Source organism: Homo sapiens, chromosome 15, assembly GCF_000001405.40.
Source record: "Homo sapiens chromosome 15, GRCh38.p14 Primary Assembly".
Classification (NCBI taxonomy): Eukaryota; Metazoa; Chordata; class Mammalia; order Primates; family Hominidae; genus Homo; species Homo sapiens.
The window spans coordinates 47,948,741-47,971,888 of NC_000015.10; the positions used below are offsets into that span (position 1 = coordinate 47,948,741).

The window sequence follows — 23,148 nt, forward strand, 5'->3', positions numbered from 1 at the left end:
AAACCAGGAGACAAGTATCATTACCTTCATTTTATAGATGTACAACCTGAAGCTTAAAGAAGGGAAGTGACTTGCTAGAGTCATCGGCTAGTAAGCAGAATAGCAGGGATTCAAACCCCGCTGATGGGCTCTCAAACGATGACCCTTATCTCTGCCTAGCCCATGTCCTGAATTAGACTATATGGATTCAAATTCTGGCTCAGCTATGTTTTATATATATATATATATATATATATATATAAAACTGATGTATGACTGTGAGCTGATCACTAAACCTCTCTGTACTCAGTTCCCTTATCATAAAATGCAAATAATGATAGGAACTGCCATCATAGAGTTATTGTGAGAATTAAATGGAATGTACAAGTTAAGTGCTCAGAACAGTGCACTTAACTGTGCTCATGATAAACCTCCATACATGTAGCTGTCATTTCCAGTGTTTGTAATTGATAGATATAACTGCCCTTTCTTGTATGGCACTTGTTTCCTTATCCTTGTTTAACAAATCTATGGTACACATGCCTTTTATTGAAAGCCCACTCAGATCTGTTTTGGAAGTAAAATGGGGATAAGTAACAAATGCTTGAATGAATTTCTGATTTTCCTCCATTGAAGGGCCTGATGCAGAAGTGCTTCTCCTTCCCCTTGCCCCTGGACCTGAGCCGGAGCTGTCTATCTACATGAGGACACCATCTGGCAACACTGAAATGTTGCCCTCACTGTATGCCATCACCAGGAAGACAAGCAATAGATGATGAGTGAAAATAAAATGTTTAGTTGGAAACTATTTGGGAATGGCTTTATGTCCACATATGGACACAGCCTGGCTGGAACTGGGGAGATCTTCCCTTTCTGGTGTCTTTTCAAGGTCTTGAGATGAGCTCTAACAAATATCTCAGGCCATCTGGCCTAGTTTTTCATAATTGTGACTCCTAAATGTAAACACGGTCCGAGAGAATATCGGGAACAAAAAAAAGGCTAATGAAATTCTTCTAATTTAACGGAGTTGTTCTGAGTCTCATTCAGTTACTTAAACATTTTTTTCTTTCCTTCTCGCAGTCATCAATCCTGGAAAATCTATTACGTACAAAGAGTTATGCTGGTGTGGAAAATTCATAGATGAGTATCTTAATAGTGATCATTTCTTTAATCTGTTTATTTAGCACCCCATGAGGAACAGGAAACCCTATTCAAAGTAGCTTAAGCAAAATAAGAAATTTACTAAAGCTCATAAATAAAACATGCAGGGGGTAGATCCTAGCCTCCAGCAGGGCTTGATCTGGGGCCTCAAGTGGTGTCATCAGGACCCACCTCTGTGCCTCACAGCTGTGCTTCCGCCTGGGATCGCTTTAGTCTCTGCAGACCTGTTTATCTATTCAGAGCTTCCAGTCTGTGTCAGGGAGGGCACTTCTCTTGGCCAGTTTCTCCAGTGAAGTCTCAGGACTTGGTCCACTTTGGTGCGTTTGGCCTGGCTAGAATGATATATCCCTCTCTGACTGGCTGGACCTGGAACATCTGTCCTCCCCTGGAGTCTGGAATAAGATTCACCTGAAGCTCATGGATTGCAAGATGGGGAAGGATGGTGCCCAGAGGAAAAGCAAATTACTGTAACTGGAAAAGGGGAAATGCACGATAAAACAATAGATGTCCATTATGGTTACATAGCAGAGAAAGCAGATCCCTAAATTCATTCTCCTCTGATTTTTAGTTGGACTCAAGGCCACATAGAATTACAGATTATATATTACACACCTTCCCTGGAAGCTCTACTTTCCCTCCAGGTACCGTCCTTAAAACACTGCAGGTCCTTGCCCTTTGCATCTCTCATGCTCATCCCTCCTCCTTTCCATCGCCTGGCCATATTCTGAACCACAGGCAGATGGCCACACCCTAGGGCCAGCTGGAAGGAACCAAGAAATGCCAAAGCCAGAATTCAAGCAGAGAATTGTTTGACTCTCTGTCCAATGCTCCTTCCACTGAGCTAGATCATTGCTCAGTATTGACTTTGTGGACTTTGAAGTGAGAAGCTCTTGTACTTTATAAAGTATGAGCAAGTAAACAAAATTTTCTTAGCCTCAGTTTCCACATCTATGAAGTGAATAATGATGTTGCAAAAATTAAATCAATCAATGTAAAGTGCCTAGCACACTTCCTGGCACATAAATTATAGCCCCATCCCCACTTCCCATCTTCTCCATTCTTTTCCTCTTCCTCCTTCTCCTCCAAGTTAGAATATGAGAAGTACCACAAGAAAAGCACTAAGCATTTTAAAGAAAGAAGTTAGTTCAAGCTGAGTCTTAAGAATAGATGTATTTCCATTTGTTGAGATAATCAGGCCTTATCTTCAGAAATTCTGGGGTAGGATAAGGAACCTGCATTTTAACAATCAGCTTTGTTGATTCTTCCTCAGGTGAACCACAGAACACATTTTGAGAAATACTTGATTAGGAGGTAATATTGGGAAAATAAATAGAAGGAAGGAAGGAGGGAGAGAAGGAATGAAAGAAGACGAAAAAATACAGCCTGAAGATTGATACTGTAAAGTCCTAAAAGTTAGGCTAGAAAATAGCCAGGGGAGTCATTTAACATTTTTCAAATAAGTTTTAACCTAACCTTTGATTTAGGAAAGATAACCTGGTAATTGTATGTTAGAACATTTGAAGGAAGGTAGCTAAATTAGGCATTTGCTGTATGTGCTGTTTTGAGCCTAGGTAACAGAAAGAACAAATAGAAATTGGAAACATTTTTTAAATGCTGTTTTGGGGGTGAATGATGAAGAGTTGGAACTTCAATGGGATCTATTTAAGATGCCATCAGGACATATAGTGGCCAGTGAAAAGGCTAATAATCTATAGTTGTTAAAGGATAAGTCAATAAAATACTATTATGTCATTCCTTAACTTTGGAAACTTTTTCCTTGTTAAATAATAACAACAATAGCAATAATAATTTCAGCAATAATCTGTGGCTATTTTTACTTAGCACATGCAACTATAGGTTGGTGCAAAAATAATTGGGGTTTTTGCCATTACTTTCAATGGCAAAAACCACAATTACTTTTACACTAACCTAATACATTGAAAGGATCCATGTTGTTGGCTCAAACTGTCATCACTATCAGTTAGTGAGTAACTGAGCTGCCTTTAAGGAGTTGAAGGGCAGAGAAAAGTGGAATGTATGTAACCCAATCCTTCCAGTGAAGCTGACCCACAGAGCGCATACAGTTGCCGTAGTTGAGGCCATATGTCCAAGTCTTGTAACTCAATAACTTTGTCAAGCTAATTGGCCACAGGTGGTCCACAAAGCTGAGCAAACAGCTGAGCCTGTTCACTATTTTTGAGGCTGTCTTAACAAGTTGCTTGAAATTGGGTGTTTATGATCTCTCCACTCCAGTGGTTCTCAACCAGGGGTGATTTTGCCCCTCAAAAAACATTTGGCAATGCCTGAAGACAGTTTTTATTTTCACAGCTAGGGGAGATATTGACAATGGCATCCAGAGGGTAGACGCCGGGGATGCTGCTCAACATCCCAGTATGCTCATGACAGCCTCCTACAACAAATAATTACTTGGCCCAAAATGTCAATGGAACCAAGGTTGAGAAACTATGCTCTATTAAAACGCAGATATGGGTTCTGGGTCTTCCCCTAATAATTTATTTTGTTTAGCAGAACACAATGGCTGTGTGATAATCAGGAACCAATGTAAAGACTTACCACAGTCCTGAACTTGGAAAAGGTATTCATGGGTCCTGAACTTGGCAATGGAAAAATATCTAACCTCATCTGTGTGTGTGTGTGTGTGTGTGTGTGTGTGTGTGTGTGTGTGTCTGTGTGTGTGTGTGAGAGAGAGAGAGAGAGAAAGAGAGAGAGAGAGAAGGAAAAGAAGGAGTCATTGTGAAAAATAATTTGCAAGCAGAGACAGCAATCCAAATCTGAACAAAGAAAATCGTTTAATGCTAAGCCCCTACAGCACATGCATAGCAATGCCAGGCTAGTGAATGAATGGGATGAATCTAACCCAATAACTTCCAATAAAATGTGCAGAAATTGTGTGCAAAAAGCAAAATCCCCCCAACAATAAACAACAAAAGACCAGTATGCAAATTCAGTCCTTCACAAAAATTCATCCTGTAATTTTCTACAGATTGGCAGTGATCATAGGAGTCGCATAACAAGAATATTGAAAGGGCAGGGAAGAAATGGCATTCCAGAAGCAATCAGAGTTGGCAGCACTTGGCCTCCACGATGGGCACTGGGAGTTTCCTGATGGGTTGTATATTATCTTCCCAGTGGGTGGTCCTGAAGTTGCCAAGAGGGGAGGACTCAGCAGGACACAAAAAATGATAATAGGAACGGTAGTCTGTAGCACAACTCTTGTTTTAGTCTTAACTCCAGGAAGTCTGTAGGTATGAAAGCTCTGGAGCTGCAGTATGCAAAGAGCAGAGGGTGAGCAAGTCTGGAGATAATGCGATTGGATTATGTAGGGAGAAAGTTGGCCTTTCCTACCGCATGGTTTCTTTACCACTAACCTTACCCCTTGATGCAGTGTCAGGAAAATGGCCCTAGCTTCTTTAAAGGTGGCTAGAATACTCCTGAGAAAAGATTATATAATGAATCAGCTCTGGAACCTGCCACCTTGGAAGTAGTGACTGCCACTGAGGAAAGAAATTAAGAAATTCAAATGGAAGTTGCCAGTAAACTTTCCTTTTCAAAAGGAAACATTGTCTTCTCCTAGGACATTTCTGCTCCTCTCACTCCTGTGATTTTGGAGTGCTTTCCTGCTTTACTGCTTTGGCATCGGTATTAGTTTCCGATGGCTACCATATCAAATTACTGCAAACTTAGCATCTTAAAATAAGTCAAATATCTTATCTTGCAATCCTGCAGGTCAGAAGTCCAGCATGGGTCTCACCGAGCTAAAAATCAAGGTGTTGGCAGGAATGCATTCCTTCTGGAGGTTCTAGAGGAGAATTTGTTTCCTTGCTTTTTCCAGGTTCTAGAGGCACCTGCATTCATTCCTTGGCTTATGCCTCCTTCCATTTTCAAAGCCAGCAATGGCCAGTTGAGTCTTTCTCACATGGCATCACTCCAACACTGACTCCTCTGCCTTCTTCTTCTATCTGTTAAGAACATTTGTGATTACATTGAGCCCACCCAGATATTCCAAGATAGTACTCCTATTTTAAGGTCAGCTGATTAGCAACCTTAATTCCATCTGCACACCTTAATCTTCCCTTGACATACAGCATCACATATACATAAATTCTGTGATTAGTATATAGACATCTTTGAAGAGGCCATGATACTTCCTACCACAGCTTCCCTGTTTGATCTCCCTTTTGCAATTTTGGGTTGGTTGCTCATTGAGGGTATACTTGGTACCAATAAGCTTCTATGAATAAATGTATGCTAAGTGAGTAAATTAATGACTGCACGAGGAAGTGAAGTGTTAATATTCCGCTTTCTGTCTTAACTTTATAAATTCTGAAAACAAAAGTAATTAGTAGAGCTTCTGAACTCTCACCCACACACTAATAAAAACCTTCAGAGACCATGTGTTCCACACTCTGGACAGCTTAGCCATGTTTCCAACTTCTGACTTCAGTGACTCGCCTCTTGGCATTCTCAGGATTTAGTAGTTTGAGACCAGAATGGGCAAGATCTGTTTCCCATCTTCCCCACATAATCAAGATGCTCAGTAATGCAAACCTTGTCCTCTCACAGCTCTACCCTTTATCCATTTGTTGTTTTAATCACTTTGATTCAGGATGTGTCTTTAAAAAAAAATCCCATGAATTTATTCCAACGAATTAACCTCTTTTCCCTTCACTTGAGAGTTTGGGTTTAGGAGCAGTGCATGAATAAGATCAGTCAGTCAGTGTAGAGTTTTTATTTACTAGACTCCTCTGGAAAGTATTGAACTCTTCTGGATTCAGATTTATTTTCCTATTAGGTTTTGTGAAGTTATAACAGCTATAAAAATAACTATGATGCTAAAATAGAACATATATGTGTAAAGCAAAAATATTTTATCCTTCCTCAATTAAAACAAATGATTTGCCCTTTCATGCTGGAGGCTATTAAAGACGTATTTAACTCTCTGTGTTCTGCAGGGGACTATTTAATCAATGGAGCTCTTGCTGTAAGCATGCCCTCCCATGCTGTGTCCCCTCCACCAGTCACTTGTGTTAAAAAATTCCTTCAATTAGATTACTGATTTACAGATGCTAATTTTTAATATTAGCCTAATCAAAATACATTTAGGATTTTAATCTCCTACCCTCCAAAACAACATTTATTCATTCCCACAATATTGTACTTATTTTTCTAATTCTATCATTCAACCCCTTTCCTCTGATATGATTGCTGTAAAACAGAGGGAATTATGTAAACATCTGGCTAACAGCTGTGACAGTCATTAATCTTAATAAGTTTCACACCCACATTCATTAAGGAACAGCATTTGGCCCAAAGTTACCCAACAATCAGTGACAGAGTTAATTGGAAGCTACATCTTCTCACAATGGAAATTGTGAGAAGTCTGACAAAAAGCTTTATCAGCACCAACCAACTCCCAGTAGTAGAACTGGCTGCGTGGATAGTAAACGTCACTATTGATTGAGCTTGGGCGCTTTCTGGAAATCAAGCCCTCTGAGATACTTGGAGTATATTTTCACGTAATTTTCTACTATCATAGGAGGTATGTATTATTGTCCCTTTTTTGTAGGTAAAGAAACAAGAATTTGGAGTTTTTGAGCAATTTGCCCAAAGTCACACTACTAAAAAGTGGCAGAGCTAGAAACTTACATTTTTACAGCTGACTTAAAAGTCAGATTATTAACTGATTTTTTTAATTCTTAAAGCTATGTTTACTCTTCTAAAATAAAAAGGGGAAAGTAAATAAAGATTATACTCGGAATTATTTTCATACTGGGAAGGGAAATATATTTACAAGATTAAAATTTTAAGCATTATTTTAAAAAGCCCTTTGGATAATCCTTTGCTTTGTATTTTCGAGTCTTTCTGCTGTTAAAATGGCGAGTTAGGATATGCCGTATGGGGTTTGCTCTATCTTCGGCTTTCACTTCCCAAGTCAATGCCCTTACTTCACAGTGTTCCTTGGTACTGATTAAACCTGCATTTTCATTATTGGGAAGGCAGGGGTTTCCCTACACATTGTTAATGGTCTCCATCTCTGACTGGTGGCATCAGTCAGTTCCATCTAGCCTTCTACTCTCTGGCCTGTCCCCCACACCCTTTCTGTGCTTCCTTCTCTCCCCTTGCTATCCTCTGCCCCATCTCCAGCCTCCTTTGCCACTCCATTCTTTCCTGCATTTCCATTTCATTTGTCTCCTCACATTCCACCTTTCATGGCCAAGTCCCAGCCAGCTGTTACCTTCTGCTGTCTCTCAATTCAGCACAGTTCCATTAAGGGCTGCTTGCATTTGCCACTTTTTCTTCCACACTTTCCAATTTTTCTTCTTCTTCTCTTTTTCTCACTTTTCTGTCACTCACAACTTTTTTTCTACCAAGCTCCAATAAGTAGTAGACAGGGGTAAGGGTTCAGACCTGTGTGTGTGTGTGTGTGTGTGTGTGTGTGTGTGTGTGTGTGTGTGTGGTGAGAATTGTGGTCCATGACTGCTTAAGCATTCACATGGCTTGTGGGTAATTCGGGGCCCTTTCCATCCCTCTGCTCTTCCTCCCTCAAGTCTACAGTATGTCTTTCAAAATAGGGTCCAGGTGTATTTTCTTTTTTTTTTTTAAACTTTTATTTTAGGCTCAGGGGTACATGTGCAGGTTTGTTATATAGGTAAACTGCATGTCACAGGGGTTTGGTGACAGATAATTTTATCATCCAGGTAATAAACATAGTACCCAATAGGTATTTTTCCGATCCTCTCCTTCCTCCCACTTTCCACCCTCAAGTAGGCCCCAATATCTTCTGTTACCCTTCTAATATCCATGTGTTCCTATTGTTTAGCTTCCACTTGTAAGAACATGCCATATTTGGTTTTCTGTTCTTGTGTTAGTTTGCTTAGGATAATGGCTTCCAGATCCATCCATGTTGCTTCACAGGACATGATCTCATTGTTTTTTATGGCTGCATAGTATTCCATGGTGTATATGCACCACATTTTCTTTATCCAGTCTACCACTGATGGGCATTTAGGGTGATGCCATATCTTTCTTATTGCGAATAGTGCTGCAATGAATATACATGTGCATGTGTCTTTATGATAGAACAATTTATATTCCTTTGGATTATACCCAATAATGGGGTTGCTAGGTTGGATGGTAACTCTGTTTTTTTAAGTTCTTTGAGGAATCACCCAACTGCTTTCTACAGTGGCTGAACTAATTTACATTCCCATCAGTGGTGTATAAGTGTTCCCTTTTCTCCACAACATTGCTAGCACCTATTATTTTTCAACTTTTAATAATAGCCATTCTGACTGGTGTGGGATGGTATTTCACTGTGGTTTTAATTTGCATTTCTCTAATGATTAGTGATGTTGAGCATTTTTTATATGCTTGTTGGCCACATATATGTCTTCTTTTGAAAAGTATCTCTTCATGTCCTTTGCCCACTTTTTAATGGGGTTGTTTGTTTATGCTTATAAATTTAAGTTCCTTACAGCATCTGGATATTAGACCTTTGTTGGATGCATAGTTTGCAGATATCTTCTCCCATTCTGTAGGTTGTCTGTTTACTCTGTTGATAGTTTCTTTTTTTGTTCAGAAGCTCTTCAGTTTAATTAGATCCCATTTGTCAATTTTTGTTTTTGTTGCAATTGCTTTTGTTGTCTTCATCATGAAATCTTTGCCAAGTTCTATGTCCAGAATGGTATTTCCTAGGTTATCTTTCAGGGTTTTTATAGTTTTAGGTTTTACATTTAAGCCTTTAATTCATCTTACACTGATTTTTGTATGTAGTGTAAGGTGGGGTGTCCAGTTTCAATCTTCTGCATATGACTAGCCAGTTATCCCAGCACCATTTATTGAATGAGGAATCTTTTCCCTATTGTTTGTTTTTGTCAGCTTTATTGAAGATCAGATGGTTGTAAGTGGTGTGACATTATTTCTGGGCTCTTTATTACGTTCTATTGGTCTATGTGTCTGTTTTTGTACCAGTACCATGCTCTTTTGGTTACTATAGCCCTGTAGTATATGTTGACATTGGGTAATATAATACCTCCAGCTTTGTTCTTTTTGTTTAGGATTGCCTCGACTATTCGGGGTCCCTTTTGGGTTCCATGTCAATTTTAAAATAGTTTTTTCTAATTCCACGAAAAATGTCATTGATATTTTGATAGGAATAGCACTGAATCTGTGAAATCTGTAAATTGCTTTGGGCAGTATGGCCATTTTAATGATATTGATTCATCCAATCCATGAGCATGGATTATTTTTCCAATTTTTGGTGTCATCTATGATTTTTTGAGCAGTGTTTTGTAATTCTTATTATAGAGATCTTTCACATCCCTGGTTAGCTGTATTCCTAAGTATTTTATATTTTTGGGGGGGCAATTGTGAATGGGATTGCATCCTGATTTGGCCATCAGCTTGGATGTTGTTTGTATAAGGAATGCTACTGATGTTTGTATGTTGACTTTGCTGAGGTTATTTATCTCTGATCTCACAGAGCCTTGGGGCTGACATTACAGGGTTTTCTAGATATAGAATCATGTTATTTGCAAACAGGAATAGTTTGACTTCCTCTCTTCCTGTTTGGATGTCCAGGATTATTTTCAACAACACTTAGCTTAACCCAGGATACTAACCTACTGTAATGTTCTCACAGACAATATCATCACTTACAATAAAAAAGATGTTAATACTGGCAAGAAACCTAAAGATAATATGGAGAGTAATTATTTACTGTAGGTTTTTCTTATTTGAGGAAAAAATTACCCTAACTCTAGGAAAACCTTTCCTTCGCAAACTTGAATAGCACCTGCCCATGACCTATTCAGGAACTGTGTTATCTCATAGAAAAAAATACATTTAAAAATTTTTTTCCATAGAAGTATAATGCTTCTAAATGAGGCACTCTATCCATTCATCTATCTAGCCAACAGGTATTTATTATGACCTTTTATGTACAAGACACAGTGCTAGGCATTATGGATAACGCAGGGAGTATAGACTACCCTACCTTTGCCCTAAAAGACTTAACAGAATAGAGTAGAGGAAAATAAATAAATACACAAAACAAAAACATATATTGCAACTTGAACATTCTGATGCAAACAAGATATTAAGAGAGATCCTCCCAGCATAGCATTTTCTAAACTGAATTCTCTGAACATGCAAGTGGCCATAGTCATTTTTTATTTTTCTATCACTTAGGGCCTCACCTCAACATGACATTTGGCAAGGCCTTGCCCATTTGGCTATGAACAGCAGTGCACAGGGACTGGGTACAAGGGAGTTTCAGTCTCTGCTCATTGTTCTGAGAGATGACTTTTCTGTTTCCATCCCAATCAGCTTCATTCTATTATCCAGGTGCCAGAAGCAGTGGCATCCTCTACTGAGAGCATAGATATGAGGAGGGCATTAAAGAGGAAAAATAAATGTTTCCTGGAAGGAACGCCCAAGTAAGCATGGCCAAGACTTCCACAGATGGAAAGGGAAAACACTACGCTCTCTTTGTGCTTGCACCATATTCAGTAACTAATTAGAGCTTCCTGCTCAGAGCTCTGAGCTGCCCTGGGCCCTTCCTTGCTCAGACTTATGACCATGCCAATCTTCCTAAAGCAGGAACCCCATCCTTCCCTTCCATCTATAAGATTTTTTTCTTCTACTGAAATGCAAGTACTCCGTGAGGATGACTCTTGTAGGTGGAAGGAAGCCATGGAATAAGACCCCAGAAACACATGCCCCTACTTCACCATTCTGCTCACAAGCAGCTCTGCTTGTGAAATCCACTAAGAAATCAGCAATCTAAGTATTTCCCTCAATATGACTCTAGATATTCCATTGTGTTGCTGGCCGGTCTTTTCTTCTTCACATTCACCCTTGGTCCAGAGCAATCTGTATGGCCAGCTATTACTTGAGAGTGACTCTGCTCCCATAAAGTGACTTCCTCCCTAGAGTAGATTGTGGTTTGAGAGAAAGAGAGAGAATAGTCATACCTGTTCCTTTTCTTCGGGGCCAAAATTATAGCTGTTATTTCTTCTAGGGGCAACAAGGACTAATACAAACCTCCCTCAGCACCTTACAAAACTGGCTCAAAAAAAAAAAAAAAAAAGTGAAGGGTGACTGAGCTCGACTGAGCCCTGCAGGGTGTTACCCAAGAGGTGAGCAGATGTCGTTTCAGAAAAGTCAAAAAGGCTCTAACAATGTAGGAAGAAGAAGCTTTTGTGACACTAAAATGGGGTTGAATAAGGCAGACTATAGCTAATGCACAAATCATTTGAAAAGCCTCTTTCTCTGGTGAATGACTCAGTCAGGGGATGTTTGAGCTTGTAAAAAATCACAGGAAGGAATCTACTGACTCCAAGTCCAAGGTGCAGGCCTGTATTCTCCCATGGGCCAAGCAAGACTTCTGGGGAAAGATAAGACACCCTTGTCCTCATACCTTCAGCTTCTCTGTTGTCAATTACCATTGCCACATAATAATTCTGAAAGCGAAAAACAGCTCTCTTGTCATTTCAGCTCAAGCATAGCTTCTTCAATGCATCCATCAGACTTCTCTACTCTGCACTGATCTTTCTTCTTCCTGAATCCCTTTAGCACTCATAATCTATTGTTCACTAATAAACAATTAAAAATGGCTTTATTGGTCATCTCAGATTCTTTTTGGAATGAGTCAGGGCATTATTTAATGTTCATATTGTCCTTCGTTCCACACATGATAATCTTCTTTCTCCACATTAGTAACTCTGTAAAGGCAGAACAAATATAATTATTTTAAACCAACAAGAATCTTATTTTCTGAATTAAAATTTGGCTCATATGGGTCTGCAAGCACAGGTCCATGCGAGAGAATAGTGGGGCAGAATATTCTACATTGGATCTGCCTCTGAACATCCACGTGATCACCACACTCTGTTTCCTGGGGTCATACTCCCACACTGGAGCCAGCACACTGCTGGAGTCTCCACTGCCTGTTGGGAAGATGAGAAGCATCTAGCAAATATCTTCCAGGAGCATTGGTTTTATTCCATGGTAAATAATCTACACATTATTTACACATGAAAACATATTTTCAAGAGCAAAATGGAAGCCTTATGTTATTTTCTAAGATAAAACTTGAATGAAATTTCTTGAAGTTTCTTGAATCTTGGAGTGGGACTTTCAGGCTTCACCAACAACCCCCACCCTTCCACAACCCCCTCCTCCCCAAGCCCATGCCAAGCTCTTCCTGGAGCGCAGGTCCAGGCTTTCCTGCTCTTAGTTACCCTGTGTTCACACTTAAGAAGCACTGCTCTTCCACTCCTACAGTAAGGCAGAGGAGAGTAAGTGCTTGATAAATATTTATTGACATATTGATTCATTGTTCCTTCAAAATTCAGAGCAGCAAAAGGAAGTTGAAATCAAATCTTCTTTTAGGTGTAGGTGGAAAGGTCAATCAATAGTGGCCTTTCTGGCACTGGAGAAACATCCTACCATCCTACTAGAGACGTGTTCTACTTTGTCACTGTAGGTAGGAAGACAGTAATGGCTCCCTCAATGAAATGGTGATAAGAACGAGAACATGGTTCAAGAGAAGAAAAGAAGAAATTGTAGAAGGATAGAACTGGCCAAATGGCAAGGCATCTATGACAGAAAAGAGCAACAACAGAGCAGAGCAGAGCTGAAAGAGACCAGTCTCAGAGAAGCAAACATGTTCAAGCAAAGAACCGGGCAAGTCTTGTTTTCCCTCCAAACCCAAACCTCCTAGAAACTAACAGTTGGTTTTTGATTTCTTTGGGCTTTGTTTTTGTTTTACTTTTGTGTCTCAGAAAGGACCAGAAAAATACAGGGGCTCAGGTGAAACCTTTATGTCAGCAGGAAAAACAAGACTCAGAGAAACCACCTTGGCAGTGCGCCCTCTAGCAGTTCCCAACCACAAAGCGAGCATCCATCCTGTCTTGTTTACAGAAGCCCCAGCCAAAAACAAAATTGCCTAACCATCTTTGCCAAGGGGAACTGGGGTTAACAGTTTTTCAAAAACCTCATAATTCGATAATTTGCAAGTTACCACGACTTCCTCCGTAAAACTGGGCCCCCATGACTAAGAGGTTTCGTTTCAGTTGCGGTATGAAGAGAAACTTGTTGCTGGGCACCATTTGTGCAGCATAAGCCCTGGGATCCCTACAGAGTCTCTCAGTAGGATTCAAATGTCTCAGGAGAGGGGTGGAGCTCATCTGGGTTTCCACATTGGCAGCCAAGGATGCCCAGTGGAGCCATCTTCTCAGATCAGGCATCCTGGTTGTGTTAGTACTTCTAACCACTATGCAATTCACCCAGGCTATCAACTTGCCTGGCAGAAATAGGTCCTTCAAGGAAAATACTAGAATTCCTCTAGGCTGCCAGCCTCCGTTTCAGAGACAGGTGGCAGAGGCTGTGAAGGGTGGCCCAAGAAGCACAAGGGTGAGACAAAGATGAGCAGAGTGAGGCAGCAGCCATCCCCATGTGTGCTCTCCTTGTACACCCCAGGAAGGATCTTAGGGATCATCCAGTCCCTGATTCTCATTAGACAGAAGTGAAAGCTGAGTCTCAAAGAGGTGAATGGTTGACTTAAGCTAGACAGCAAGCTACTTGTGGGGAATAGGGGTAGAAATTAATATTGCTTTTGCTTTTGGAGAATAGTCTCAATATGTCAGTCACTTTTCTAGATGTAATTAATAATATATATTTTTAAAACTTCAAAAACCTATAGGGTAGGTAACATCTCTATTTTTATAGCTTTGTTTTATAAAGAAGGATATATTGTCTGAGAAGTGAGTTCAATCTGGAGCCACATCTGTCTACAAAGCCCATGCTTTTTCCTCACCGTACCTGATGTTCATTCCCAGCTCAGCAGGATTCATGAGACCTTCCCCATAAACTAACCCAAAGGGCAAAAGACTGGGTTGCCATGCCCTGTGGCCATGTTGAGGGTGGTGAGAGGGAGAGTGGCTATTCTTAGGGCTGTAAGTTGTACCTAAGAATATATTTGTGCATAGGAATAATTTTATAAATTAATGTTTATGTTTACCATGCAATGACTAGAACCATCATGGGTTAAATAACATTTTTTGACCCTGTAGGAACTCAAAGACATGCTCTGAGTTCCCAGTAACTGATTATCTTTAATGTGCCTACTGGTGATATCATTAAAATGTAGATTTAAATTCAGTGAGGTCAGAGATTCTTCAATTCTGTAAGCTCCCAGCTAATGCTGATGCTGCCAGTCCATGGACCACAATTTGGGCCACATCCAATTCACAAATAGAGACTCACTCTAAATCAAAAGTTGCTAATTAGGCTGGAGTACCCTATTTCTTTTTTTAATATTGCTGACCCCTAAGCAAGTTCTACTTATCTGTCTGAAAATTGTTGCTGTTTCCAGTGCAACAAGTCACTGCCTACAACTAATATTCCACCTTCTCTAGGACATATCTAGGCTCTGCAAAAAGATGATCTTCCAAAGCTCCACAAAGAAATGCCATTTGTGAATGCTCAGGCACACCTGTGCCTGCTGGCAGCAAGCCATTGACTTTTTCCAACAAGCAAACCAAAGCTTAACAAATTCCACTGTGGAAAGGTGAGCAGTGTGCCCCCTGCGGGCAGCTTCCCACTTCCCCTCCCATAAAATGAGGGCCTTTCAGCCCCACCTTCTTAATGAAGTGTTCAGCGAACACTCCACCGCATCCACCTCCCTTCCAACTTGTACCTCCCACAAACATTTGCCCTGTAAGTTCCTCTAACCAAGTCATCTTTTTTGTTTCCACGTTTTGTCTCTCTAGCCAAATCTTAAGTTCCTTGAGAGCAGAGACTCTGTCTAATCTCTCATTGCATCTTCCCACAAAGCCCAACCCAGTCAGTGTTGTGTTCAAATTATAGGCTAAAGAAACATGTCTCCATTCCCGGAAAGTTTTATTTTCCTGTTGTGTAAGAATGCAACTTCCATTGGGCTTCCGAAGAGTGTCTGTGAAGATCACACAGGAAGGACTCTACAATTATTATGAGTCGATAATTAACTTCTTACCAATGGTAGTGATGGGATTGTATAAATTCACGCCAGAATTCACATCAATGGTATACAAGGATTATATGAGATAATGCATGTGAAAGCACTTGGTAAAGTACAAAGCCCTCTGTAAATGTAAGGTATTATCCTGTTGTTATTATTACTTAGGGCGTATGTTTCTAGCAGAAGTGAACAAACACAAGATCACCAAAAAATGACAGACAGCCTTTGTCTACACCTCAAACCCACTCCGCATGAAAAGGGATTCTTTTTCATTCATTCATCCTTGAATTATAAGTCAGTAAACCAAGATTCGCTCCTGAGCCAGGAAATTGAGGTAAGAGAAAAATATTGGGATGGATCTGCAAACCTAATGCTAGTATCACATGGCAACTCCCATTTCCTGAAGCTCAGGGGGAGCCAGGTACAATTTAATATGATCAAGGGAGCTATTTCATGGGCTGAAGGAGACAGTGAGAATGACTGTCATTCACAGCAGGACAACATAATAGCATCCATGTGTTTGTCTGAATAGACACAGGCACTCCGTATGCACAGCACTTTCACCTTATTGAATAAGGCAGGCTCCCACTTGCTTGCCTCCTGCCTGCCCAGACATTCCTCCACTCCCTGCCCCGACTTTCCTTCTCACCACAGTTTCTTTATCATCCATGTCTTGGAGTGATTCTGGGCCATATATCCTGTGCACTCTTCTCCTAGAACCTCAGCAGCATCTCCCAGCTCCTCTCCCTTTGAAGATTCATATCCCATATACTTCCACATGTTACCTTAAACTCTGGTGTGTGTGTCTGTGTCAAACTTTCCCCTTTTATGAGAACATCAGTCCTATCAGGTAAGGGGCCTACCCTAATTCAGTATGATTTCATCCTAACAGCTAATCACACACTATTTCCAAATAAGGGTACACTCTGAGGTATTAGGGGTTAATATTTTAACATATAGATTTGGGTGGGGGAGGGGGCAATTTAACCCATAACACTTGGTCTTGGTTACTTGGGAATCTCCAACCCCCAGCCCCGCATCAGCCAGCTCATGTAGCACATGTGGATCACACAACAACTCTGACTGTAGTCAAGAATGTCCATCAATGAAGCTCTGCTCATACAACTCTCACCATCTCATTTTATTTTCCATGATGTTTCACTGACCTTTCCAGATTGGTTCCCAGACAATTGGCAAATATACTTTATCATGCTTCACCTGGGAGTCTCCTAGACTTTCTCCCACTCACTCCTACCATTCTTTGATTTTCTCTCCTAAATAGTCCTCAAATTAGTCTCTGCTACCAGTGCCTTAACTCAGGCTCTCATCACATCTGACTTTGATGAGAACAATAGTCTAATTTTTCTCCTTCCTTCTAGTCACCCCCGCCCCCACTTCCATCATCTCTAGTCTCCCTGCACCCTAGGACCTCAGCAGCAACACCCAGCTTTTATCCCTTTGAAGATTCATATCCCAAATAGACTTCCGTGAGTCACCATAAACTCAGTGTGCCCTAAGCAGACACCAGAAGTACTTTCTACAGTCACACCTGACAAGCCACTCTCACATTTTAAAGCCTCTGGCGGCTCCCCACAGAGCAGATGCCATGCAGATGCCTTTGCTTCTGCACTCAGGGCCCCGTGTAACGGAACTCCTGCCTGCCTCCCTAGCCTCACATTGTTGTCTCCTGTTTCAGCCTTTGCAGGTGCTATTCTCTCCACCCTGGGTTCCCTTCTCCTCATTGCTTTCAACCTATATTCCTCCTTATCCTTCAAAACTCAGCTCAAGGGTGACTTCTTCTGGGAAGCTTTCCCTCCACCTGCAGACTGATTTATTCTGCTCCCAAAGAACTTCACGCTATACTTACTGCAAATCAGTGGATACCTTATCTGTCTCTTCCCACTTGGTTAGAGGACATGAAGATCATGAGCCACCAAAAACTGTCCCCACAAATGCACTTTGGGCTGGGCGTGGTTGCTCAGGCCTGTAATTCCAGCACTTTGGGAGGCCGAGGCAGGCGGATCATTTGAAGTCAGGAGTTTGAGACCAGTCTGGCCAACATAGTGAAACCCCATCTCTACTAAAAATGCAAAAATTAGCCAGGCATGGTGGTGCACGCCTGTAGTCCCGGCTACTCAGGAGGGTGAGACAGGAGAATCACTTGAACCAAGGAGGCAGAGGTTGCAGTGAGCCGAGATCAAGCCACTGTACACTCCAGCCTGGGCAACAGAGTGAGACTGCGTCTCAAAAAAAAAGCACTTTGTACCCCATTTTCCCTCATTATTAGATGTGTATCCTGAGCAAGTTGTTTAACCTTTTTAAGTCAAGAGTTTCTCCTCTGCAATATGTAGCTAATGAAAGTGCCCACTCATGAAGTTGTTATTAGTCTTAAATTAGATAATTAATACTGAAAGCTTAGCACAGTGCATGGCAAGTGGCATAGAATAGCCAAAACGGCTGCTGTTGTTACTGTGTGGTTACTGTGCTTGTTCTTGTCGCTATTGATTTCACAAGCACCATAGCCCCAGGAAGCAGAATGTGGGCTCTAGATTTGTATTGCTTGAAGAGTGAATTCTGGTTCCAAATGTTTATTAACCGTGTGTTCCCATGCCTGAGTCTCACTTTCTTCATGTATATGCAGATAATAATGACAACTACTTCGTAGATATTTGAGGATAAAATAAGCTACTTTTGAAGCACTTGGAACAGAACCTGGCATCTAGTATGTGCTTAGTAAATACTGGCCTCTAATATAACAGGCTGTCATAGAGTCCCAACAGGCTTCATTCACAACTGCAGGAAAGATTGAAAGTCAGTGCCCTAGTCTGTGAACTCCTTGACGGAGAGATCATGCACGAATCTTCGTAATTCAACCACACAGTATGCAGAAGGTGCTCAAAATTTTTTGAGAATGAATGAATGAATTGTGAATTGAGTTAACAAATACCAAGTTAAATAATGTCACTTTTTAAGAGGTCACAAATGGAGCAAACTCATTTCTTGAGAACATGGCTGGGAATAAGGAAATGGGACAAATAGATGTTCTGAAAATGGCACATAAAAGCTCACATACTTTATTCAGAGGAATCATAAAATGTGCAAGCTGGACTGGACCTTGGTGATGATCTATTACAGCTCCGTCATTTTGTAGATGAGAAAAATGAGCCAGCCCTCAGAACTGATTTCCTCTCCCTTTATACATCATTCTCAGAAGCTTTGTTATCTGGTTTCCTGGCCAAAGCACAATGAAAGGAGCAAATTTGGAGAGGAAAGGGAGAGAATTAGACCTATGTATACCTATGATAATTATCAAGAAATGAAATTCGGGCTTACGACAGGAAAGCTACATAAAAAGCAGACATAAAAACTGCAAAATCACCGGGGCCTGCAACATTGGCACGGCTGCAAAGGTGCTCACTCCTCAACAGACCCTCAGCACCTGGCTGCGAGACAGCCCCAACCATGGAAAAGATTGCATGATGCTTTATAAAAGCAAGATTTTCAAGAAATTTAACTTTCTTTCATTCCCAATCATTTCTATTGGGGGCTCCTATCTCATCGAGTTGATTAGGAATTCAAATCTCAAGCTTTTATAGTATCCTCCCACCCATTCTAAGGTTCCATCAGAGATTCCAAGAAAGGGTCAATAATGTCAAAACATTGGGGTAAGTGGAGAGCAGGTCACCAGGTCCTGGGCCATGTGCACACCCAGGTTAGTAGTGAGCTCTCTGTGGCTGGCCAGCTCCCCAACACCAGCTGTGGCTCGCTGCTGCTCTGACCTGGTCTTAGAGGGTAAAGATCTTTCTTTACAGTCAGGCTGGGTGCACACTCAATGCCTGTTTCCTTTCCAGCCTCATGATGTCTTTTTGTCCTCGTCCTCTACCTCTGTCCTCGGCTCCCCTGCTTTCGCTCCCTACCTCCTCTTCACTCCCTCCTATCTCCTCTCTCTGCCCAACAGTGCCACTATTTGTAATCTGGGGGATTACCCTTCTTTTTTCATGGCTCTGTATCCCCAAATCCTCTTTCGTTTGCCTACTCTGTGAGTTCTCTGTGTTGTTCTAAAGGCCTCGGTTTGAGGAATACAAAAGCCAGACAGACGTATAGGCTACTTCGGCCTTCCACCCTGACACCTTCTTACTCTGAGACAATGAACCAAAGAAGGCTGACCCTGCTTGGAATGGGGAAAGGAAGAAAGAGAAATGCAGGGAAGAAAAAACTTTGGGAAAGGAAAAATGGATGCACAAAAAATCAAAAAAGGAGTTATTTCAAATGTTATCAAAATGTTATCCCACCACATATGTAACACTAATGCACAGTCTAGTATTCAACAGAGTTTGTGTTCAGTTATCCAGAAAATGCATATCTGTGCAATAGTTTATTCTCATGCATCCTAAGTAAATAAGTACTTATTTATATACTGTAATATGCATGTTACTCTATGCCTATAAGAGCACTGAGCATCAAGTTCCAAACGTGTTGCATGGAACACTCAGTACTCTCAATTTTGACTCAGGAAGAAAAGTCTTCTGTAATCAAAGCAATTTTTAAAACACCATTCTTCTTGGAGATTTAGAAAGTATCTTATAATGTTAAGGAGTCTGAGAAGTCTAAACTTGGTCCTGCCCTATTTGACTGCAGGAACTTGATTGGATTAACATCCCTTGGAACTGATGTTATAAGGAACACACATTAGAAAGATCTGTCTGATTTTCATGCTGATGACCAACTCAAGGTGAAGAAAGGAAAGAAGTTTTCTGTGGTGTGTATTGAAAACAGAGATGCAGATTATGTGAGTCACCACTTCCCAGGGGGCAACAAGCAATAACCCCTGGAACAGGGAGCCCTTATTTTCAACCTCAGCCTGAAGGGTTTTGTAGCCCAAGGCTCTACCTGCCAAAGCTGTCAGGTCCACTTTCTAGTGAGTAGCACAGGGGATGCTGAGGCTCATGTTGCAGAGCCGCAGAGAGTGAGGCCAGAGCACAGGCCCTTGCTTGGAAGTCACCCTCTCTCCAGCCAAGATGATAGCTATTTGGATCTTCCAAAGTCATTACAGCCCATACCTGTTTGGATGCACAAGAAATCAGGAAAAAGAGTTATGTCAGATGTTGGTGTCTCTGGCATTATGTTCAAACAGAAAAAACAGTTATGTGGATTACCTCATCTTCCCTTTGTGCAGGTAGGAAAATGCTCAAACTCAAAAAGAAATGGCAGAATTGTTCTCCGAAAAGTTGAAAGGCAACAAAAACTTATGTAATAATAGGTCAAGAAAGGTGCTAAAATGTTCCAGCAGCTAAAACAGTAAGCTCATCATAAAGTTACAGGCACCAGTTCAGAGCCTCCTGACACATACTCTATATACTTGTAATTTCAGTTCAAGAACGATTATATGGATAGCTCATATGTGTTAATATTTTCCTAGGCACTTTAAGGATCATAAAATACAAAATTCAAACTTTTTACTTTGCCATCTAAGGCTCTTCATGATATAGCCACGGTCTAAGGAACTTGGAACCATATCTTGAGTCTTCCTTTTTTATACCCTATGTTCCAGGTTTAGAAGTATTTCTGCAGTTCCTTAATCTCATTGTATTTTGTTTTGTTTTTCACCATTCCATGTTACGGTGTTTCTGCCAAGGATTCCCTTTTTCTCCTGCCCACACTTCAGTCCATTGAGCAAATTTCTATTTCTCCTCCAAAATGCAAATCAAATATTAGCTCCGTTGTGAAGACTTTGTAGAGTGGCTTCTGTTCCCCAGAGATTTGGTTTGTTTGTCTTCTTGGTTCTCATTTATGTTATAAATATATCTATGGTAGAAAGCATAGTAGAATTTAAAAAGTAAATGAGGTTGGGCTCCTGCTCTCACACTTGGCTGTATAATATCAGGTGAGTTGCCTAACCTTTTTCTATACATTAACTGCCTCATCTTTAAATTGTGAATAATTCCCCCTTCACGTGAAGTTTAAGTGATGTAAGAATAGGTTTTGCACTGTGTCTATTACATATGAACATTCAACCAAATCTTTGGTTATTACATCGTAATTAGTGGTTTTCCACTCTTTGTGCAAGTCTCAATTTGAAGTGCTGCCATATTTGTTTATATTCTTAATTCTTAGCATAGTGTTTGACACACAGTAGGCACTCAGTAAACAGCTTCAATATAACCATTAATTAGCTAATTAATTGACGGAGAGATGAATGGGTTATGTTTCTAAGGGGGCATAATCTCTAGGAAACAAGGCAAGAATAAGGTAATAAACACACTGGGACAATGGGCTCTGAAGGTCAACAAGAGTTCAGAGCCATGAAATGCAAGACAGGCCATGGAGCTCAAAGAAGGCACCTGGGGGAGGTCCAAATGAGCACCTGTAGAAAGGACAGAATTGAGGACATAATTTAGTAGAAAGAATCAGGTAAAGCATTCTAAGCTCATTATACATGAAGGCCCAGAGCTGTTTCAGGATGAGGGAGGCCGATGCATAGTTGAAGTCTTTGGAAGAAAAGATCCACTGGGGAGGGGGATCTGAAGATCCTGGTGATGAGCCGTGAAAGGATGAGAGTGCAGCCTGAGTCCTCAGAGACAGTCAGGGTTGAGGACACAGTGGGAAGCCTGCCCAGTCGGACAGGAAAGCACCACTTTCTCAGACTAAAGTGTGGAAGAAAGAATGGCTTTGGAGGCCAAAAATACATAACATAGAAGGAGAAGGTGGGTAAGAAAGCTCATGTGTTAGATGGACTTGATCTTCTTAGTGACATAGGAAGCAAAATTGTCTTCTGAGCTAGTGGGGATGGGAATATAAAGAAGTGATCCAGTAGACTGGTCAAGAACACATACCCTACCCCCCAGTGTCGAATCCCAGCACCATCACTGACCCGCTGGGTGGCCCCAGGAAAGTTCCTTTAACACCTCGTGACTTCGTTTCCTCATCTGTAAATGGGAAAGATCATAATACTATTTATCTTTTAGGGTCACTGGGATGATTTAATGACTTAATAATTGTTGAGCACACATGGAATAGCCTGGAATACATTAAGTACTATAGTAGTATTTGCTATTGTTGTTGTTATTATCAAAGGAGCCTTACAGATGTTAGGACATGATTGGACTAGCCATTATGAAAAGTGCCCTGGGAAATCAATAGGAAATCATTACTGGAAAACACATGAATATACAGTGGACATGGCCAGTGTGATCCTGTGTTTATCTTCAGCAAGCAGGGAACAGAGGCAGAGAGCAGAAAAAGTAGGAATTTCTTCCTGGGGGGATTGGGACAAAGCAGTGTAGACAGAATGCAAAATTAGAAGACAGGATTCTAGAGTAGTGATGAGGACATTAAATAGCAAATGTGAAGTTCCAGCCAGGCAAGGAGTCAAATGAAGCTAAGTGTGGACTAATGGACTGATTATGGGCCCATGGAGTGATTCTTATCCATTTATTAAGGATAAAGTTAATGGATTTTATGCTGTAGTATAGGCAGTCTCTACTGGAAGTGTCTATTAAAGTTGGCAGTGAGAACCAAAAAGTTATTTGGCGAGGAATAGGTGTGAGATATTCTTCTGAGCAAAGGGGTGGCTCTGGAGATAGATGGTATAATTATTCTAGACTTCCTTCCCATCCATGCTTTGTCTCTCCTTCTCATCCTCACTCTGGATACACAGACAAAGCCTCAAAGCAAGACAAGACCATTATTCAGAGGAATGGAAGAACTGCTGATGCTGAGGGACAAGTTCCATCCCTGATACAGTAGAGAAAAACCTAGTCAGGAAGGCTCTGTTGGGAGAGAGGGGACATGAAGTGCAAGATCTTGCCAGGTCACCGAAGTAGGGCAGGGCAGGGAACAGTGAGTCAGTATTGGTAGACAAGCCAGCAACATGATGGCTAGCATGAAGGATGGGAGGAGGGGCTAGGCAGAGTAGGCACCGGTGTCATTGGGATCTAAGTGGAAAAAAAAGACACCTCTTGTGATCTGGGGCAGATTATATTAAC

The 23,148-nt window shown here is 41.0% G+C and overlaps 2 long non-coding RNA genes across 6 annotated transcripts in view, besides 1 other annotated feature; one reads left to right on the forward strand and one right to left on the reverse strand.

Moving 5' to 3' along the window:
• Window positions 1–23,148, forward strand: part of LOC124900354 (uncharacterized) — a 165,186-nt gene that overhangs the window by 64,378 nt on the left and 77,660 nt on the right. Inside the window, exon 2 of one of the 4 annotated variants that reach the window (XR_007064618.1) lies at window positions 616–1,001. The exons of the other annotated variants lie outside the window; for them this stretch is intronic. This is a non-coding gene — a long non-coding RNA (uncharacterized LOC124900354). Of the gene's footprint in view, window positions 1–615; window positions 1,002–23,148 lie in introns of those variants that run through there. 4 annotated transcript variants of the gene reach the window in all.
• The window catches only part of LOC102724553 (uncharacterized), a 43,914-nt gene continuing 31,081 nt past the window's right edge, over window positions 10,316–23,148 (reverse strand). The window contains exon 3 of one of the 2 annotated variants that reach the window (XR_001751520.2): window positions 10,316–11,885. This is a non-coding gene — a long non-coding RNA (uncharacterized LOC102724553). Of the gene's footprint in view, window positions 11,886–20,319; window positions 20,969–23,148 lie in introns of those variants that run through there. The other variant, XR_001751521.2, reaches the window with a different exon arrangement.
• Window positions 13,212–13,271: an enhancer, noted in NCBI's record as "active region_9372". NCBI's record gives its function as "activates an Ori minimal core promoter by ATAC-STARR-seq in GM12878 lymphoblastoid cells {active_cell/tissue: GM12878}" and the evidence as "EXISTENCE:reporter gene assay evidence [ECO:0000049][PMID:35858748]".